The 18,258-nt window shown below is 54.5% G+C and overlaps 1 protein-coding gene across 5 annotated transcripts in view, besides 10 other annotated features; it reads left to right on the plus strand.

The window, feature by feature from the left end:
* Positions 4,558 to 4,827: a silencer, noted in NCBI's record as "silent region_10068". NCBI's record gives its function as "represses an Ori minimal core promoter by ATAC-STARR-seq in GM12878 lymphoblastoid cells {active_cell/tissue: GM12878}" and the evidence as "EXISTENCE:reporter gene assay evidence [ECO:0000049][PMID:35858748]".
* Positions 4,888 to 18,258, plus strand: part of PDE4A (phosphodiesterase 4A) — a 52,859-nt gene continuing 39,488 nt past the window's right edge. For 3 of the 5 annotated variants that reach the window (XM_011528055.4, XM_017026865.3, NM_001111307.2), the window contains exon 1: positions 8,653 to 9,199. In XM_011528055.4, coding sequence (XP_011526357.1) covers positions 8,880 to 9,199 — 320 coding nt within the window. In that variant the 5' untranslated portion in view covers positions 8,653 to 8,879. Of the gene's footprint in view, positions 4,913 to 4,998; positions 5,106 to 5,774; positions 5,981 to 8,652; positions 9,200 to 18,258 lie in introns of those variants that run through there. The other 2 variants (NM_001243121.2, XM_047438910.1) reach the window with 2 other exon arrangements.
* Positions 4,928 to 5,047: an enhancer, noted in NCBI's record as "active region_13967". NCBI's record gives its function as "activates an Ori minimal core promoter by ATAC-STARR-seq in GM12878 lymphoblastoid cells {active_cell/tissue: GM12878}" and the evidence as "EXISTENCE:reporter gene assay evidence [ECO:0000049][PMID:35858748]".
* Positions 5,350 to 5,901: an enhancer, noted in NCBI's record as "H3K27ac-H3K4me1 hESC enhancer chr19:10527911-10528462 (GRCh37/hg19 assembly coordinates)". NCBI's record gives its function as "activates a minimal SCP1, AML or CMV promoter by ChIP-STARR-seq in naive H9 embryonic stem cells {active_cell/tissue: H9 hESC(naive)}" and the evidence as "EXISTENCE:reporter gene assay evidence [ECO:0000049][PMID:30033119]".
* Positions 5,902 to 6,452: an enhancer, noted in NCBI's record as "H3K27ac-H3K4me1 hESC enhancer chr19:10528463-10529013 (GRCh37/hg19 assembly coordinates)". NCBI's record gives its function as "activates a minimal SCP1, AML or CMV promoter by ChIP-STARR-seq in primed H9 embryonic stem cells {active_cell/tissue: H9 hESC(primed)}" and the evidence as "EXISTENCE:reporter gene assay evidence [ECO:0000049][PMID:30033119]".
* Positions 7,446 to 8,325: an enhancer, noted in NCBI's record as "H3K4me1 hESC enhancer chr19:10530007-10530886 (GRCh37/hg19 assembly coordinates)". NCBI's record gives its function as "activates a minimal SCP1, AML or CMV promoter by ChIP-STARR-seq in naive H9 embryonic stem cells {active_cell/tissue: H9 hESC(naive)}" and the evidence as "EXISTENCE:reporter gene assay evidence [ECO:0000049][PMID:30033119]".
* Positions 8,546 to 9,015: a silencer, noted in NCBI's record as "silent region_10069". NCBI's record gives its function as "represses an Ori minimal core promoter by ATAC-STARR-seq in GM12878 lymphoblastoid cells {active_cell/tissue: GM12878}" and the evidence as "EXISTENCE:reporter gene assay evidence [ECO:0000049][PMID:35858748]".
* Positions 9,246 to 9,295: a silencer, noted in NCBI's record as "silent region_10070". NCBI's record gives its function as "represses an Ori minimal core promoter by ATAC-STARR-seq in GM12878 lymphoblastoid cells {active_cell/tissue: GM12878}" and the evidence as "EXISTENCE:reporter gene assay evidence [ECO:0000049][PMID:35858748]".
* Positions 9,506 to 9,695: an enhancer, noted in NCBI's record as "active region_13968". NCBI's record gives its function as "activates an Ori minimal core promoter by ATAC-STARR-seq in GM12878 lymphoblastoid cells {active_cell/tissue: GM12878}" and the evidence as "EXISTENCE:reporter gene assay evidence [ECO:0000049][PMID:35858748]".
* Positions 13,884 to 13,963: an enhancer, noted in NCBI's record as "active region_13969". NCBI's record gives its function as "activates an Ori minimal core promoter by ATAC-STARR-seq in GM12878 lymphoblastoid cells {active_cell/tissue: GM12878}" and the evidence as "EXISTENCE:reporter gene assay evidence [ECO:0000049][PMID:35858748]".
* Positions 16,455 to 16,524: a silencer, noted in NCBI's record as "silent region_10071". NCBI's record gives its function as "represses an Ori minimal core promoter by ATAC-STARR-seq in GM12878 lymphoblastoid cells {active_cell/tissue: GM12878}" and the evidence as "EXISTENCE:reporter gene assay evidence [ECO:0000049][PMID:35858748]".

An 18,258-nucleotide genomic window follows, 5' to 3' on the forward strand; every position in this document is an offset into this window, starting at 1 on the left:
GGTTGTGGCAATTTTTAAAAATAGGAGAACAGGTCGGGCGGTGGTGGCTCATGCCTGTAATCCCAACACTTTGGGAGGCCGAGGCAGGTGGATCACTTGAGGTCAGGAGTTCAAGACCAGCCTGGCCAACATGGTACAACCCCGTCTCTACTAAATATACAAAAATTAGCCTAGCGTGGTGGTGGGCACCTGTAATCCCAGCTACTTGAGAGGCTGAAGCAGGAGAATCTCTTGAACCCAGGAGGCAGAGGTTGCAGTGAGCTGAGATGGCACCATTGCACTCTAGCCTGAGTGACAGAGCAAGACTCAGTCTCAAAATAAATAAATAAATAAGATAATAATAATAATACTTGAAAGTCAAATGTACTCCTTGATCAGTGGGCTGCAGAATGGACGCTGTGTTAGCAGGCATGAAAACATCTCCTTGTACATCTCCATCAGAGCTCTTGGGTGACCAGTTGCATTGACAATGAGCAGTCATATTTTGAAATGAAACTTTTTTCTGCACAGGAAGTCTCAACTGTTGGCTTAAAATATTCAGTAAACAGATGTGCTGTCACCCAGGCTTTGTTGTTCTATTTATAGCTCAGAGGCCAAGTACACTTAACATCATTCTAAAGGTCCCCAGGATTTTCAGAATAGTAAATGAGAATTGGTTTCAACCGAAAGCCACCAGCTGCATTAGCCCTTAACAAGAGTCAGGCTGTCCTTTGAAGCCAGTCATTGACTTCACTTCTCTCTAGGGTGAAAGTCCTAGTTGGCATCTACTTCCAATAGAAGACTATTTTGTTGGGCAGGCGCCGTGGTTCACGCCTATAATCCTAGGAATTAGAAACCAGACGGGGCAACATGGTGAAACCCCGTCTCTATAAAAATACAAAAAATTAGGTAGGCGTGGTGGCACGCACCTGTAATCCCAGCTACTCCGGAGGCTGAGGCATGAGAATCGCTTGACCTGGGAGGCGGAGGTTGCAGTAAGCTGCAATCTTGCCATTGCACTCCAGTCTGAGCAACAGGCTCTTCCCATCCCCCTGACTCTGACTCAGAAAAAAAAAAAAAAAAAATAGACCAGGAGCTGTGGCTCACGCTTGTAATCCCAGCACTTCGGGGGGCTGAGGTGGGCGGATCATGAGGTCAGGAGATCGAGACCATCCTGGCTAACACAGTGAAACCCTATCTTTACTAAAAATACAAAAAAAAAAAAAAATTAGCCGGGCATGGTGGCAGGTGCCTGTAGTCCCAGCTACTTGGGAGGCTGAGGCAGGAGAATGGCGTGAACCCAGGAGGTGGAGCTTGCAGTGAGCCAAGATCGCGCCACTGCACTCCAGCCTGGGCAACAGAGCGACACTCCATCTCAAAAAAAAAAAAAAAGACTATTTTGTCTACACTGAACAATTTGTTGTTGATTGTAGCCACCTTCATCAATAATTTTAGCTAGATTTCTTCTGGGTAACTTGCTGCAGCTTCTTTCTCTCTCTTTTTTTTTTTATTAAAACATGTTTACTTTTTAGGCCAGGCATGGTGGCCCATGCTTGTAATCCCAGCACTTTGGGAGGTCGAGGTGGGAGGTTTGCTTGAGCCCAGGAGTTCCAGACCAGCCTAGGCAACATGGTGAAACTCTATCACTACAAAAAATACAAAAATTAAGGCCAGGCATGGTGGCTCACGCCTGTAATTCTAGCACTTTGGGAGGCCAAGGCAGGTGGATCATGAGGTCAGGAATTTGAGATCAGCCTGACCAACATAGTGAAACCCCGTCTCTATTAAAAATACAAAAAATTAGCCAGGCGTGGTGGCAGGTGCCTGTAATCCCAGCTACTCAGGAGGCTGAGGCAGGAGAATCACTTGAACCCGGGAGGCAGAGGTTGCAGTGAGCCGAGATTGTGCCATTGCACTTCAGCTCGGGCGACAGTGCAAGATTCTGTCTCAAAAAAACAAACAAAACAACAAACAAACAAAAACCCAAAAAACAAAAATTAGCTGGGCATGGTGGTGTGTGCCTGTAATCCCAGCTACTCAGGAGGCTGAGATGGGAGGACTGCTTTAGCCCAGGAGGTCGAGGCTGAGGGCCACAATGAATGGGTACCATTTCTTGCTCTGTTTGCTGGAGAATACAGGTTACAATCAGAGTGGTGAGTGCTTTAATGGGGGTAGAAAAACCTGCAGTGGGGGCCCAGAACATGGACTGGGGCAGTCTGGCTGAAAAATGGAGGTGACCTTTAAGCTATCTTTTTTTTTTTTTGAGATGGAGTCTCGCTCTGTCACCCAGGTCACCCAGGCTGCAGTGCAGTAGCATGATCTCAGCTCACTGCAAGCTCTGCCTCCCGGGTTCACGCCATTCTCCTGCCTCAGCCTCCCGAGCAGCTGGGACTACAGGCGCCCGCCCCCGGGCCCGGCTAATTTTTTGTATTTTTACTAGAGGTGGGGTTTCACCGTGTTAGCCAGGATGGTCTCGATCTCCTGACCTCGTGATCCGCCTGTCTCGGCCTCCCAAAGTGCTGGGATTACAGGCGTGAGCCACCGTGCCTGGCCTAAGCTATCTTTATACATTCATCCATTTGTTCAACAAATGTCTGTTGAGGGCCCACCAGGTGCTAAAGGCTAGGTTGAAGAAATGATGTTTACATTAGTTTCCATTAATTTACATTGAACTGAAGTGCTAGCTAAGGCAATAAGGCAAGAAAAAGAAATAAGAACCAGACTGAGCATAGTGGTTCATGCCCAGCATGAACATGGGTTCATGTAATCCCAGCACTTTGGGAGGCTGAGGTGTGAGGAGCACTTTAGTCCAGGAGTTTGAGACCAGCCTGGGCAACATGGCAAGACCCCATCTCTACAAAACAACAAAAACAAAAATTAGCCAGGCATGATGGCGCGTGCCTGTAGTACCAGCTGCTACTCTGGAGGCTGAGGTGGGAGGATAGCCTGAGCCTGGGAGGTCGAGGCTGCAGTGAGCTGTGCAATGGTGCCACTGCACTCCAGCCTGGGCAACAGAGTGAGACCCTGTCTCAAATAAATAAATAAATAAATAAATATTAAAAAAAATAAAGAAATGAGAACTAGGCTGGGTGTGATGGCTCACACCTGTAATTCCAGCACTTTGAGTTTGAGCTTTAGTTTGAGCTCAGGAGTTTGAGACCAGCCTGGGTAACATAGTGAGACCCCAGTCTCTATTTAAAAAGTAGAAACAAAAGAACCAAAGTAGGGGATAAACCAGCTAGTACACAGTAGAACTGTTAGGAACATTACACTATCAGGCTCTCAATAATAACCTGACATTGAACAGGTTATTAAAAGCCTATTATGTTCCGGATTCTGTTCAGGACGCTCAGGAGATAGTAAAGAATAATACTACATTATTGTTAACATAATAATTAAACAAAGTTTTCGTGCCCTCCTGCAGCTAATATTCCAGTGTGAGGAGACACAGACAATAAATGTAATAAACAAATTACATAGTGTGGTATGAGGGGGGAAGAGCGGGAAAAGGGGGACCAGAAGTCCTAGGAGGTTGTATTATAATTTTAAGTGGGGGTGGGGTAAGAAAGAAAGAAATGCCTGAAAGGATGAGATATAAGCAAAGACCTAAAAGAGGTAAGGGACCTGCGGATTTTTTTTTTTTTTTTTTTTGAGATGGAGTCTCGATCTGTTGCCCAGGCTGGAGTGCAGTGGCCCGATCTCGGCTCACTGCAACCTCCACCTCCCAGGCTCAAGCCAGTCTCCTGCCTCACCCTCCCAAGTAGGTGGAACTACAGGCGCCTGCCACCACGCACGGCTGATTTTTGTATTTTTAGTAGAAATGGGGTTTCACCATGTTGGCCAGGCTGGTCTCGAACTCCTGACCTCAAGTGATCCACCTGCTTTGGCCTTCCATAGTGCTGGGATTACAGGCCTGAGCCACCGCATCTGGCCAACCTGCGGATATTTGGGGGAAGAGTTCCAGGTGGACAGAACTGAAAGTGCAAAGGGCCTGAGGCACCAGCATGCTTGCTGTGTCCAGAAACAGCTAGACCAGTGTGGCTGGAGCTGAGGGCAGGAAGGTGACTGGGCGTTATCTAGCAGGACTGTGTGGGCCACGCGAGGACTTTGACGTTTCCTCTGAGTGAGGTAAGAGCTATTAGGGCTCTGAGTAGAGGAAGATCATGATCTGAATCGAGTTCTAACAGGCTCCCACAGGGTCAGATGTTACCATTTATTAAATATTTACTGAGTGCCAGACACTATTCTGTTCAATATGGTTTGATCTCATTTCATTCTCACATGGACCCTGTAGGGAATATCATTCCATTTCACAGAAAAGAAACTGAGGCTCACAGAGTTTAAGACACTGACCCATGGCCGCACAGCAATAATCTTCAGCGCCTGGGTGCCAAGGTAAAGTAAGCCAGCCTCTCCCTCCCCCAAGCATTTCAGACAAGGATCGGTGGCTGCAGAGCGCACCCGTCTTCGGGAACGGCGTCTGTGTCCCTGTCTGTCTGTTTCTATTTCCACACGTCCCTGTCTGTCTCCACGCGCCTCTGCCTGTGCGTCCCCCATCTGTGCCCAAGCCGCCGTCTCTCTGCGCCCGGCCCCCGCACATCGGAGCTATTTCGGGTTTAAGGCTTAAAAGCCCAACAGCTCGGAGGAGACGCTTCCTCCGGCCCCCGGCTCGGACCACGCGCCGCACGCGGCCAGCTCTGGGAGCTCCCAGTTTTTTCTGCGGGATCCCCGAGCCGGGGAAGCCCCCGCGGGAGGAAGGGTGGGGGCTGGGGCGACCCGGGCCCGGAGGCTCTCGGCCCCCCAGTGGCCAACCCCGGCATTGACGCCGTCAGGAGCCCAGCCGTGCGTCAGCTGTCGCCCTGGCAACGGGGGCGACGTCACCACATTGGTGGTGCGTCAGTCCGCTGACGTCACGCCCCAGGAGAGGCAATAGGCAAGTGGCGGGGGCGGGTTCTAGGCCCGACCGGCAGGGGGAGCCCTGGGGCACTGATGGCAGATGCGTTTGGCTTGGTCTTGTAGGAGGCCCTGGCCCTGCCGACATGGCCACCGCAGTCCCAACGGCGCGCTAGGTTGGCGAGATGAAGAGGAGTCGCAGTGCCCTGTCCGTGGCAGGGACCGGGGACGAGGTGCGAGAGGAGGGGCTTGGGCTAGGGGCGGGGCTTCGCCCCTTGGGGGAGACTAGCGCCCTCTAGTGACCACGGCTATTTCCTGAACGTGGCTTCACTACCTCCAAGCTGTGAGGAGTTTGGTCCCCTCGTGCCTCAGTTTACCCCCTTGATTCCATTTTTTCTCCTGCTGCCCTAAGAGGCTCTCAGCCGGCCCAGGGACAGCAGGCAAAGGCTTCTCAAATGAGGAGAGGATTTTGGCGAGGAGGTGGGAGGGGGCGCTAGGGGTGGTGAGGTCTTGAGAGTCTCAGATGTGAGGGATGGGAGGGGGGCATTGACATTAAGACCAAGAGGGGCCCTCTTAGACGTGGAGGTTGGGAAGAGACCCTAAAAAGGTGATGTGTTAGAGAGGTCTCACACTTGAGACAGAATGTCTAGATGTGACAGACCCCAAGGCTGGGGCATCGAGAGGGGACCCCACAAAAATTATGGCTGAGAAGGGGCACTCTCAGACCTAAGGGATGGCAGGGCACCCTCTGTGTGAGGGGTCAGCGAGTGGCTCACACGTGAAGGGGAGCCTATACCGCCATTAACTACTCCCTTAGACAGCTAGGTAGGGGTGTTCTTGGGGAGAGGGGCTCAGAGCTTCCCAGCCAGGCCACGCCCCTATTCCACTTTGTCCCTCCCCAGAGGTCGAGGGAGACCCCCGAATCCGACCGTGCCAACATGCTGGGGGCCGACCTGCGTCGCCCTCGCCGCCGCCTCTCGTCCGGTCCTGGCCTGGGCTGGGCCCAGCCTGAGCCCTCGGACCCTGGGGTCCCTCTGCCGCCACGGCCCACCACCCTGCCGCTGCTGATCCCACCGCGGATTTCCATCACCAGGGCCGAGAACGACAGGTAGGTAGGAGAGGGAGCAGAGTGGGAGGTGGGTTGGGGAGGCACAGTGCCAACTGGGCTAGGTCCAGCCACCAGCCCTTCCCGATCTCCATGCTCCCTGCCGTTTGCAAAACTAGCTGCAACTTGTCCTGTGGCGGGCTGTGACACCCCTACCCCAAGGCACCCTTCGCAGGCTCTAGGAACCCCTTATTTCATTTTCCAGCTGCCTGAGTCAGCAAGGGGCAGGACTGAGGAAAGGGGTGTCATGTCTCCAGCCCCCAAGATGCTCCCATATTCACAGAGCTGGGGCAGGTTGATCAGGCGGCTGTGCACCGGCTTTCATGTCCCCGCCTGGGAGGATCAGGTTTCTTCTCCGCCTTGAAGGGGATGGTGGAGTCTTGGAAGGGGTCTGGACTAGTATTTTTCTTTCTCCTGGGGAGATGTGAGAAATATCTGCGAGCTCTGGGTTCACACAGCACCTCCTGCTGATTCTCATCTGGGGACCTTCCAGGTACCCAACCAGTTTCCCAGAGTACTCAACCCCCCTCTTGGCTCAAGAATGAGCTGGAAAGTCAGACAGCTGAGCTGGTCCTGGCTTCTGGCCGGCCCCTGCCCCCATGCCCTCCTCTGGTCACCGCTTTCGGCAGTTCCAATCCACCCCCACCCCCATCTACTCAATTGGAGGGTTCCAGGGTCTCTGTTTCCGTCATGGTCCAATGGTTCATTTCCAGATAGGGAGAGCAAGTGACTGTCTCTCGCCCCTGGAGCTGCTTAATTATACCTCTCCACGCCCATCCCACTAGCCTCAGGTCCAGATCAGTTTATCCCCCAGCTCAGGCCACCGCTCCTCGTTTCCTCCTTCTTCTGCAACCCCAGCTGTGTCCTGACACCCCCACCCACCTCACATTACGCACTCCCACCCGCTTCCAGATCTCTAACCAACGTTACAGCATACCCCGCCAAGAATTTGGCCCAGCCCAGGACTCTCAAATATGATCTGGGGAGAACTCACAGCCCCTGCAAATTCCCTAGAAGCCGTTTTGAGTGTGTAATGGGGGGGGTGTTCCTGAGAGAAGTGGGGAACACAGTTTTGGCCCTTGGAATACCCGGCGGCTGCTGATGGGGGGGCCGGTTTTTGCTCGGCGTTCGCCCACGCCGGGAGCCCCCTCTGGCGGGGAGAAAAGTGGCTGTGGGGGTTGAAGACCGGCAGTCTTTTTTTTTTTTTTTTTTTTTTTTCAAATAAGGAGAAGGGCGCGGGGGGAGGGCGGTGGCAAACGGCATCGCGTGCCCTGGGGAGCCCGTGACAGGGGGCGCACGGGGGCAGGGGTCTGGTCCCCGGGTCCCGCAGCAGAGCAGTTTCGCGTTCGAGCTCTTATCGGCGTGGGGGGGGGGGGCGGTGGGACACGCGGGCGCGTGCACTCCCCCCGCCCAGCAGCCATCCTTGGGGGGGTTGAGGGGGATGGGGGCGCACTCGGATCCCGCTCGCTCTCTGCTTGCTCGCTCGGCGCGGCGCTGGGGGAGGCGGGAGCGTGAGTCACGGCGACTCCCGATTTAGGTGCCGGAAGGGGGGCTCTGCTGGCGGGGGCCGCAGGGAGGAGGCTCGCCTGTTTACTCGCCTGAAAAGGGCACGGGGGTGCGCTCCGCGGCTACCTGGGACCTTCCTCAGTTTACCTCTGGCAGAAGCGCTTTAGAAGAGGCAGCGATGTATAGAGCGGTGGGCCGGCAGCTGCGGTATCCGCCACAGGGTGTCTTCCTGGAGCCACAAGGGAACCAATGGGACACACCCCAGAAACACCCCAGAGGCCCCAGGCCGACCACACACATACACTCACGCACACGCACACACTAACATACATAGACGTCCTCCGACACTACAGTCAGACGACAGAGGCCGAATCGCGTGCACAACTCCGCAAGCACACACCGACCACAAACGCATCCAAGCGCTTGAGAACACATTCACAGTCCCCAGGCCACCTGAAAAAAGACCACGTAGGGATGCACATCCTCCAAATAGGTAGCACATGTGCGCACACATCCTTCACCCACAGACACACACAGTTATACACACAGCCAAATCCAGAGAAACGGGCAGACAACAGCAGCCAACCACGTGCGCACACACACTTCCAGCCGACACTGAAAACACAGACAACCCTCGGAAGAGGCCACGTGCGCGCACATCCCGCCCCGGGCCCGCACCATCACTATCCTCCGACGCACAGACAGGAGATCCCACACACTCTGCCGCCGCCCGCTGCAGGTACCGCGCCGGTGGCACTAGGACCACTCCTCAAAAACTGCCCCCCGCCAGGGGTAGCGGCGAGGACACGCCAACACCGGACTCCGCCCTCGCCATGATGGACCGACTGACTGACACTCTGGCAACCAGTCCGGTGTCTGCTTCCAGATCGGATTAACCGTTTAACTCCTTCGTGCCTGTGCGCGCCGCGGCCAAGCAGGGTGCTTTGAAGACAGACGAGTTCCAGCGCCCCCTCCCAGCCCGGAGCGGGGATCTGCGTGGGCGGGAAGGGCCCCCCTCCTTAGGTAGCTGCCCCCCGCTGGCCCGGACGGAGGAGGAGGGGGGCGGCGCTGACAGCCGCGGCGGGCGGGGGGCGGGGAGGGGCGGGACGGGGCGGAGGAGCCGGGGCTGGCGCCGAGCGGGCCGCGGAACGCGGAGCGCGGAGCGCGGAGAGCGCCGCCGGGCACTGAGCAGAGCTCCAGGCGCCGAAAGGAAGCTGCAGAGCCCGGCCCGGGGGCGATTGGCCCGCAGCGCCCCCGGGTCTGTCCCCGGGGCGCCATGGCCCTACCGCGGCCGGGCGCACCCGCGGGGCCCTGGGCTCGCTGGCTTGCGCGCAGCTGAGCGGGGTGTAGGTTGGAAGGGCCAGGGCCCCCTGGGGCGCAAGTGGGGGCCGGCGCCATGGAACCCCCGACCGTCCCCTCGGAAAGGAGCCTGTCTCTGTCACTGCCCGGGCCCCGGGAGGGCCAGGCCACCCTGAAGCCTCCCCCGCAGCACCTGTGGCGGCAGCCTCGGACCCCCATCCGTATCCAGCAGCGCGGCTACTCCGACAGCGCGGAGCGCGCCGAGCGGGAGCGGCAGCCGCACCGGCCCATAGAGCGCGCCGATGCCATGGACACCAGCGACCGGCCCGGCCTGCGCACGACCCGCATGTCCTGGCCCTCGTCCTTCCATGGCACTGGCACCGGCAGCGGCGGCGCGGGCGGAGGCAGCAGCAGGCGGTAAGACTCCCCGCGGCGGATGCGCGCGGAACGGATGGGCGCGCAGGGAGGAGGCAACTCGAGCTGCCGGCCGCAGGGGGCGCTAGGATGCGGGTGGGGTCGGTTTGGCTGGCGGGGGCGGAGGGAATTCGGCTGCGGGGGCGTCTGGGACCTGGCCCCTGGTTGTGCGCTCTACGGGAGGCTTCCTGCTGAAGCCCATCCTGGGGTCCATTTAGGGGGCGCCACGCTGCGCGTGGTGTTAACGAGGTCTGGGTTGGGGAAGGGGGCTGCACACTTAGGGGTCTGTATTCTTGGTGACAGTGCAGAACAGCTGCTAAGCTGGGAACCACTTGGAGGGACCTTCCTGGGGGCACTATACTGAGGGCTAGATTCGCAGTGTTTGGGGTACTCTTGGAGCACTCCATAAGGGGGTGCCTGCTAGGACCAGGATCTTTACTTCAGGGTGGGGTGCTCTCAGGGTCCTTCTAGGGGATGGAGGACTCTATTGCGGGGATGTTAGTGGACTCCTCCTGCAGCAGCTGGGGTCAGAAATCCAGAGGGTGCCTCTTGGGGGAGCACTGTTTTGGGAGCCTTGCGTTAGATTGGAGTTCCCCTCTCAGGGCAAGAGTGTTAGCGTTAAGTAGCTGTTCAGAGGCAGGAAACAGTGGAGGGGGGGCGCAGTCCCAGCACAGAGGGAAGGAGTCCCTGACTGCAGAGGTGACAGCATAGTGAGGGTGCATGTGTGTTGAGCTTGGTCTCCTCTGAGGGTATTCTCCGATTGACCTCCGTTTGCTCCAGCTGTCCGGGTATGACCAGCTGTGGCTACCTCAGTTGTGTGCTCTGTGTGAGCTTCTGGGGTCTTGTGATGGTGACACGATGACTCTGTGTCCTCCAGGGACAGTGTAATTGTGACAGTGTGACTGTGTATTTCCAGGGTAGTGTGACTGTGTGTTTCTGGGACAGGGTTTGCGACAGTGACTGTGTGTGCTCCAAGAATGCTGTGACTGTCACAGGGTGACTGTGGCCTCATGGGATGCAGTGATTGGGATAGAGTGACTGTTTCTGCTCCTAGGACAGTGATTGTGCAATGGTGTTGGTGGTCTAGGGACAATGTGATTGTGACAGTGTCATTTCTGGCATGCAGTGATTGTGGCACTGGGGTGTTTACACTTGGGGAACAATGTGATTGAGTTCGTGGAACAGTCTGTGCTCCTTGGACACTGTGATTGAAACACAGTGGCTGTGTGTTAGTCTTCACCAGGTGCTCACGTCTGAGCGTCGGTGCTCTGACATGTGGTCTGTGTTCCCTCTGCCTGGTGTATCCTAAGAACTGGTGTCCTCTAACCACCTGGTGTTCTTAGTTATTGTTCCTCCTCTGATGGTGCTCCAGGGTCTGATTGCTTGTGCTCCAGCGATGTGTGCAACTGACAGCTTTGCCCGTGTGCTCTACCTGGATGCCCCACTGCTGGGGATATCACCAAGACGGTCAGATTTGGGCTCCTTATCCCTGGAGCTCCTGAGTGAGGCCTCTCTAAGATGTAGCCCTACTCTTCCTAAGTCTCTTTGGGGGTCTTCAGCAGTCATTGCAGCCCTCCAGGCCACCCCCACCTCTGTTCTGATCACCCCCCAGCCCCAGTCCCCCTGCACCCTTCTACCCACCAGGAAGCAAGTGTCACGGGCCCAGCATACATGGGCTGACATTTCCCAAAGGGAACTGGAGAGAGGCTGAAGGAAGAGAAAGTTGGAATCAACAGAAAATGCTAAAACTGGGGCAGGGGGCCAAACTGGCACAGGTCACTGTCCTAAGACACCAAGGGGTGGGTGAAGTGAAGTAGGTTCCAGGCCCCATTTCTTTGCAAGGCTCCAGGGACTCCTCCTAGCCTGGTCTCTGGGGCACTGAGTCTTAGGGGACAGTGGCTGAGTGGTAATAATCATCATTATTTTGGTGGGTATCCATCTCGCAATGGCTCACCCTCCGGCTCCATGCCAGGGACTTTTCCATATGCATCCTCATCCCCAGTGCCCTGGGTATTCCAGCAGGGTATTCCTGCTGGCATATGGAGAAACTGGAGCCCAGAGACAAAACCCTTTCTCTTTTTTTTTTTTTTTTTTTTTTGACAGAGTCTCCTCTGTCACCCAGGCTGGAGTGCAGTGGCGTGATCTCAGCTCACTGCAACCTCTGCCTTCCGGATTCAAGTGATTCTCCTGCCTCAGCCTCCGGAGTAGCTGGGATTACAGGCGCCCACCACCACACCTGACTAATTTTTGAATTTTTAGTAGAGATGGGGTTTCACCATGTTGGCCAGGCTGGTCTCGAACTCCTGACCTCAGGTGATCTGCCCACCCCTTAGCCTCCCAAAGTGCTGGGATTACAGGCATGAGCCACTGCACCCAGCTAAACCTTTTCTCTTTCTCACCCAAACTCACACAACCAGGAGATGGGGGAGCTGGAATTGCAACGCAGGTCCGCCCAATTCCTGTGCATCTTTGTATAAGTGTCTTGCCCTCTCTGAGCCTTAATTTTCCAGTCTGTAGAGTGGGGCTTTTGTTGGCACTGCCATGTGGGGGTCACTTTGAGGGTTCTGTGAGCTTGGAGATGTGTGTAAAGGACTTAACATAATCAGTAGATCTCCATTCAGGGACCTGGACTAAGGAGGGGGGACCTGGGTGGATCCCATTTCTCCAGGGTGAGTAGAAAAAAACAGGAACCTTAACCACATCCCCACGTAGACTCGGGTTTCTGTTTCACTGTGGGCCTGTGCACCCTTCAGTGTCTGTGCTGAGGTCCAAAGCTGGGACTGATGGGTGGGCTGTAGCTGGCATCAGTGCCAGGGTCCTCCCCCATTCCCAGGGAAAAGGAGGAAGGTGTCTGATGGCAACCTCAATGCTTAGAACAGGCATTTCTTCAAAAAGGGGGTTTTTACCAGGGCACATACAGGATTCAGTGCTCCCCACACTGGAGTTCATCCAGCTACCGCAAAAGGAGTCCAGCGAGCTCCCCCGATTTGGGTCAAAGGAATCCCCAGAGAGAGGGCACTGCCCACCCCCAACCGGAGATGTCATCCAAACCTCCCCTCCAGACCTGAAGATGTATGAGACGGCTGAGTCACGGCACAGCCACGATCTGTCAAGAGGCAGATGGAGAGGGAGGAAGAGGAGGACTTTGGTGGTGGGGGTGGGGAGCTGTCTGAACTGGGGACGGGGCCAACATACGGACCCTGCGTCCCCCCTCCCTGGGCCCTAAAACTTCCCCATCGAGGTGGGGGCACAGTGTGGCCCCAGGAGCAGGTGGAGGCAGCCGAGCTGGGGTATCCGTCTGGTCGCTGGTCTCTGTCTCCACTTGGGTCCTCGCCTCCCCCTTGTCCCTGGCGCTCCCAAGTCCCTGGATGTGGGTTGGGAGCGGGTCTCCCCGCGCGCCCTCTGCTGGACGACGAGGAAGGCACAGCCTGGGTGTGCGCTCCGAGCGCGGACCTGCTCCAGGGACGCCGCCAGTCCCGGAGCAAAGCAAAGTCGCCGCCACCGTCGCGGCGCCCGGTATTATTATTTTATGCTTATTGAGCGTCCTGGAGAGCGGGCGCCAGGCCGGCTGACCGCAGGCTGCGTGTGGGGTCCTCGCCCTCCCGGGCTTGGGACCAGGCCGCTTTCCCCATGCGCCAGCCCCTGCCACACGCTGCGGGGACTGTCGTCTGGAGGACAGGGAGGAACCTGGCCGAAAAGTTGCAGCCGTGGAGTTCCCGTCCCGCCTCTGCGCGCTTGCCCGGCAGGCCGGTGAACCCCAGCATCCTTGGCTCTGCGCTTCCTGCCCGGGAAACAGAGACCATGGGACTTGCCCAAGGTCACACAGCGAGGAAGGTGAGAATAGGAGTTAAAAACCAGATCTCGGCCAGGCGCGGTGGCTCTGTAATCTGAGCACTTTGGGAGACCGAGGTGGGCGGATCACGAATGAGGTCAGGAGTTCAAGATCATCCTGGCCAACATGGTGAAACCCCGTTTCTACTAAAAATACAAAAATTAGCCGGGTATGGTGGCACACGTCTGTAATCCTAGCTACTCGGGAGGCTGAGGCAGGAGAATCGCTTGAACCCGGGAGGCAGAGGTTGCAGTGAGTCGAGATGGCACCACTGCACTCCAGCCTGGCAGCAGAGCGAGACCCTGTCTCAAAAAAAAAAACAAAAAACAAAAAACAGATCTGCTCCACTGCAGACCGCTGGGTAACATTCACATGGCAGCCCTGCCCGCTGACTCGCTGTGTGACTTGGGGTCAGTGCTTGTGCCTCTCGGAGCCTCAGTTTCCTCATCAGTCAAACGGGGCTGAAAAATAAGAACTGTCCACCCCCAGGGCTGTGGTGAGGCTGATATGTTTGACGTAGGTGCTGGGCAGCCAGGAGCTGGTGTTCTGAGAAAGTACTTCCTCAAATGACATCAGCAGAGAGAAAGGGGGCGTCCCCCAAACCGCAAACCCGGCTGGTGGGGAAGGTGCCCCATATTTCATTGGTAACAGATTGACTGCAGGCTCTTATGACTTTAGGAAAACTGGGGCTTTGGACCTGGGAGAGCCACAGTCTGGCAGGGTGAGAACAGAATTGTGAGGGCATCTGAGCCCACTCTTTTCATTGTGGAGTATGAAAGAGTTCAAATCTGGCTGGGCGCGGTGGCTCATGCCTGTAATCCCAGCACTTTGGGAGGCTGAGGCGGGTGGATTATTTGAGGTCAGGAAATTGAGACCAGTCTGGCCAACATGGTGAAACCCCGTCTCTACTAAAAATACAAAAATTAGCCAGGTGGTAGTGGTGCATGCCTGTAATCCCAGCTACTGGTGAGGCTGAGGCAGGAGAATTGGTTGAGCCTGGAAGGCGGAGGTTGCGGTGAGCCGAGATTGGGCCACTGCACTCCAGTCTGGGCGAGAGACTGAGACCCTGTCAAAAAAAAAAAAAAAAAAAAAAAAAAAAAGGAAGGAGGGAAGGAAGGAAAGAAAAGAGTTCAAATCCACTTTTGGCCAGGCGAGGTGGCTCACACCCAGCACTTTGGGAGGCTGATGTGGGAGGATTGCCTGAGGCTGGAGTTTGAGACCAGCCTGGGCAGCATGGTGAGACCCTATCTCTACAAAAAGAAAAAAATAAAAGAAGTAAATCCAGCTTTTGTCCTGGACTCGCTGTGTGACCTTCACCTGTCAGAGCCTCAGTCTCCTCATTTCTAGCAGATTCGTTCATTCCACAAACACTGAGCGCCTTCAGAACTGTGGCTGAGAATGCTGTAGACCAAGTTTGTCCAACCCGTGGCCCAGGATGGCATTGAATTCGGCCCAACACAAATTCGTAAACTTTCTTAAAACAATGAGATTCTTTTTTTTTTCCCTCTCATTAGCTATTGTTAGTGTTAGTGTATTTTATGTGTGGCCCAAGACAATTCTTCGCCTTTCAGTGTGGCCCAGGGATGCCAAAAGATTGCACACCCTTGCCATAGACACATTCCCTGCTGCCCTGAAATTGTCAGACTAGAGGGTGAAGCAGAAATAGCAAGTAAAGGGCTGGGTGCGGTGGCTCAGGCCTGTAATCCCAGCACTTTGGGAGGCCAAGGCAGGTGGATTACTTGAGGCCAGGAGTTCGAGACCAGCCTGGCCAAAACCTGGCAAAACCCTGTCTCTACTAAAAATACAAAAATTAGCTGGGCGCACGCCTGCAATCCCAGCTACTTGGGAGGCTGAGGTGGGAGGAGGATTGCATGAACCCAGGAGGCGGAGGTTGCAGTGAGCCGAGATTGCGCCACTTCACTCCAGCCTGGGTGACAAAGCCAGACTCCGTCTCAAAAAAAAAAAAAGAAATAGCAAGTAAAGCTGTATGATAATTCAAGATGGTCACACATAGGATATGAAAAAAAGAGGGATCCTGAGGTCAGGGAAGGCCTCTCTGAGGAGGTGACATTTGAACAAAGACCCAAATAAAATGAGGGAGGTAAGGGCCGGGCGCAGTGGCTCACACCTGTAATCCCAGCACTTTGGGAGGCCGAGGCAGGTGGATCACGAGGTCACGAGTTCAAGACCAGTCTGGCCAGGATGTTGAAACTCCATCTCTACTAAAAATACAAAAATTAGCTGGGCGCAGTGGCAAGTGCCTGTAATCCCAGCTACTCAGGAGGCTGAGGCAGGAGAACTGCTTGAACCCAGGAAGTGGAGGTTGCAGTGAGCCAAGACCGTGCCAGTGCACTTCAGCCTGGGTGACAGAGCAAGACTCCGTCTAACAAAAAACAAAAGAGGGAGGTTGCTACATGGGTGTCTGATGGAAGAGGGTGCCAACCAGAGGGAAGAGCCAGTGCAGAGGTCCTGTGGTGGGAGTGTGTCTGATACGTTGGAGGCAAGTGTGTCTGAGGCAGAGTGAGCGAGGAGGCAGTGGAAAAAAAGGAGGGAGCGAGGTGACAGGCAGCTCATGTAAGGGCTCATAGACCATTAGGCCATGATCAAGGTTGGCTTTAGGCCTCAGTTTACATCTGGCTTCCTAGGACGGGACAAGCATCATTGGGCTGGAAGGAAACTCATCCATAAAGGGCTTGTGTAGCCTCATGGCTAAAATTCCTGTCTCTGAAGCCAGACAGCTGGGTCCATAATCCAGCTCTGATCTTTCTAGATTGGGAGACCCTAGCCAAGTCACTCCTCTCTGGGCCTTGGCTTCCCCGTCTCTGAAATGGGCCTAGTAAAAACCGTATTCCCAAGGGCTGATCTGACGAACTGGCAAAACAATTCAGGGAAGCTAAGGGCATTGAAACCTTGGTCGGTGAACAAAAATGCATTTCTGGGACAGGTATAGTGGCTCATGCCCAACACACTTTGGGAGGCTGAGAGGGAGGCGGATCACTTGAGCCTGGGAGGTGGAGGTTGCAGTGAGCCAATATCATGTCACTTGCACTGCAGTCTGGGTGACAGAGTGAGACCCTGTCAAAAAAAAAAAAAAAAAAAGAATATCACCTGGTGGGTGTCTGGTGGGTACTTTGTGAGGATTAAATGAGATCATAAGACCAAGTGTGGTGGCTCACGCCTGTAATCCCAGCACTTTGGGAGGCCAAGGCGGGCAGATCACTTGAGTCCAGGAGCTCAAGACCAGCCTGGGCAACATAGGAAAACCCCATCTCTAGAAAAAGTACAAAAAATTAGTCAGGCATGGTGGCGCACATGCTACTCAGCTACTTAGCTGCTCAGGAAGCTGAGGTTGAAGGATCACTTGACCGCAGGAAGTTGAGACTGCAGTGAGCTATGATCGTGCCACTGTACTCCAGCCTCGATGACAGAGTGAGATCCTGTCTCGAGAGAGAGAGAGAGAGAGAGAGAGAGAGAGAGAGATATTGAGAGAGAGAGAGAGAGAGAGATCATAGCTAGAGGCACTGGATGCACAGGAAGCTTTCTAAAGGGTTAGTTGCTATCATCACCATCATCGTCATTATCATCATCATCTATACCCTCTAGCTAGTATAGTGATTTGCATATTATAAGCCTTCAGTAAATATTTGTCAAATACTGATAATAACTGTAGCTCATATTGAGTGCTTACTAGGTTCAGACACTTTTCTGAGCTTTTTATGTGTCCATCCATGGGGTGAGTGGTAGTATTATACCCATTTTACAACTGGGGAAACTGAGGCTCAATGAAATGAAGTGACTAGCCCGAGATCAAATGGCTAAGAAGTGCCAGAGGCCACACGCAAGCCCAGGCTTCCTCACTCTGGGCCCCATGGCATCAGAGCCAACACTAGAGAAGGAAGGATATTTCACAGAGGTGGACTCGAAAATAGAGATTCACTGTTGGGCGCAGTGGCTCACACGGGTGGATCACTTGAGGCCAGGAATTCGAGACCAACCTGGCCAACATGGTGAAACCCCATTTCTACTAAAAATACAAGAAAAATTTGCCAGGTATTGTGGCACATGCCTGTAATCCCAGCTACTTGGGAGGCTGAGGCACGAGAATCCTTTGAACCTAGCAAGCAGAGGTTGCGGTGAGCCAAGATCGTGCCACTGCACTCCAGTCTGGGTGACAGTGAGAGACTGATGAAAAAGAAAGAAAGAAAGAGAGAAAGGGGGAAAGGGAGGAAGGAGAAAGGAAAGGAAAGGAAAGGAAGGAAGAAATGAAGGAAGGAAGGAAGGAAAATAAGGAAAGGAAGGAGAAAAGGAAAAGAAAGAAAGAGAGGGACGGAGGGGAAAGGAAAGGAAAGGAAAGAAGGAAGGAAGGAAGAAAGAAAGAAAGAAAGAAAGAGAGGAAGGAAAGAAAGAAAAGAAAATAGAGATTCACCCTCTTTTCTCTTTTTTTTCGTGAGACAGGGTCTCACTGTCTCAAGATGGTTTAGTGGCACCTTCATAACTCACTGCAACCTCAACCTCTTGGCTCAGGTGATCTTCCCACCTCAGCCTCCAAAGTAGCTGGGACCACAGGCTCATCCCACTATGCCCTGCTAATTTTTGTCATCTTTTGTAGAGATGGGATCTCGCCATGTCACCTGGGCTGGTCTCGAACTCCTGGGCTCAAGTGATCCGCCCACCTTCACCTCCCAAAGTGCTGGGATTACAGGCATGAGCCACCACACCTGCCTTCTAGGGGTGTCTTAAGAGTTGTAAGACACATCTCAGAAGCTGTGGGTGGCATTCTAGGTTGTCCCCAAGGACTGTGGGGTGCATCTTGGGATTCTGTTCTAGGGTGTGAGACTGTCTTAGGAGCTGGAGAGGAATCTAGTTGTGTCCCTGGGGTCTATTGGGGCACCCCAGATTTTGCTGGCATCTCCATGGTTACTAGGGCATCCCCTGAGTCTGAAGGCATTCCCGAGGTTGTCTTGGGGTCTCAGCACTTGTGGGGGCATCTCAGAGATGCTGTAGAACCATTCAGGGATTAAGGGACATCTGAGGGACTGTGGAGGTGTTCCTGGGGTCTGTGGAGAACTCTAGGATTTGGTGGGAACCTATATTCGGTCTATGAAAATGGCTCTGTGGGTGTGGGGGATTCTGGGGGTACTGAGGGAGGGTCTATGCATGATGGGATGATGAGAGTTGGGGATGATGGGGAGCTCTGGAGGAATTTTGGGACATCTGAGGAACTGTGGTG

This window comes from Homo sapiens, chromosome 19 (assembly GCF_000001405.40).
Source record: "Homo sapiens chromosome 19, GRCh38.p14 Primary Assembly".
NCBI lineage: Eukaryota > Metazoa > Chordata > Mammalia > Primates > Hominidae > Homo > Homo sapiens.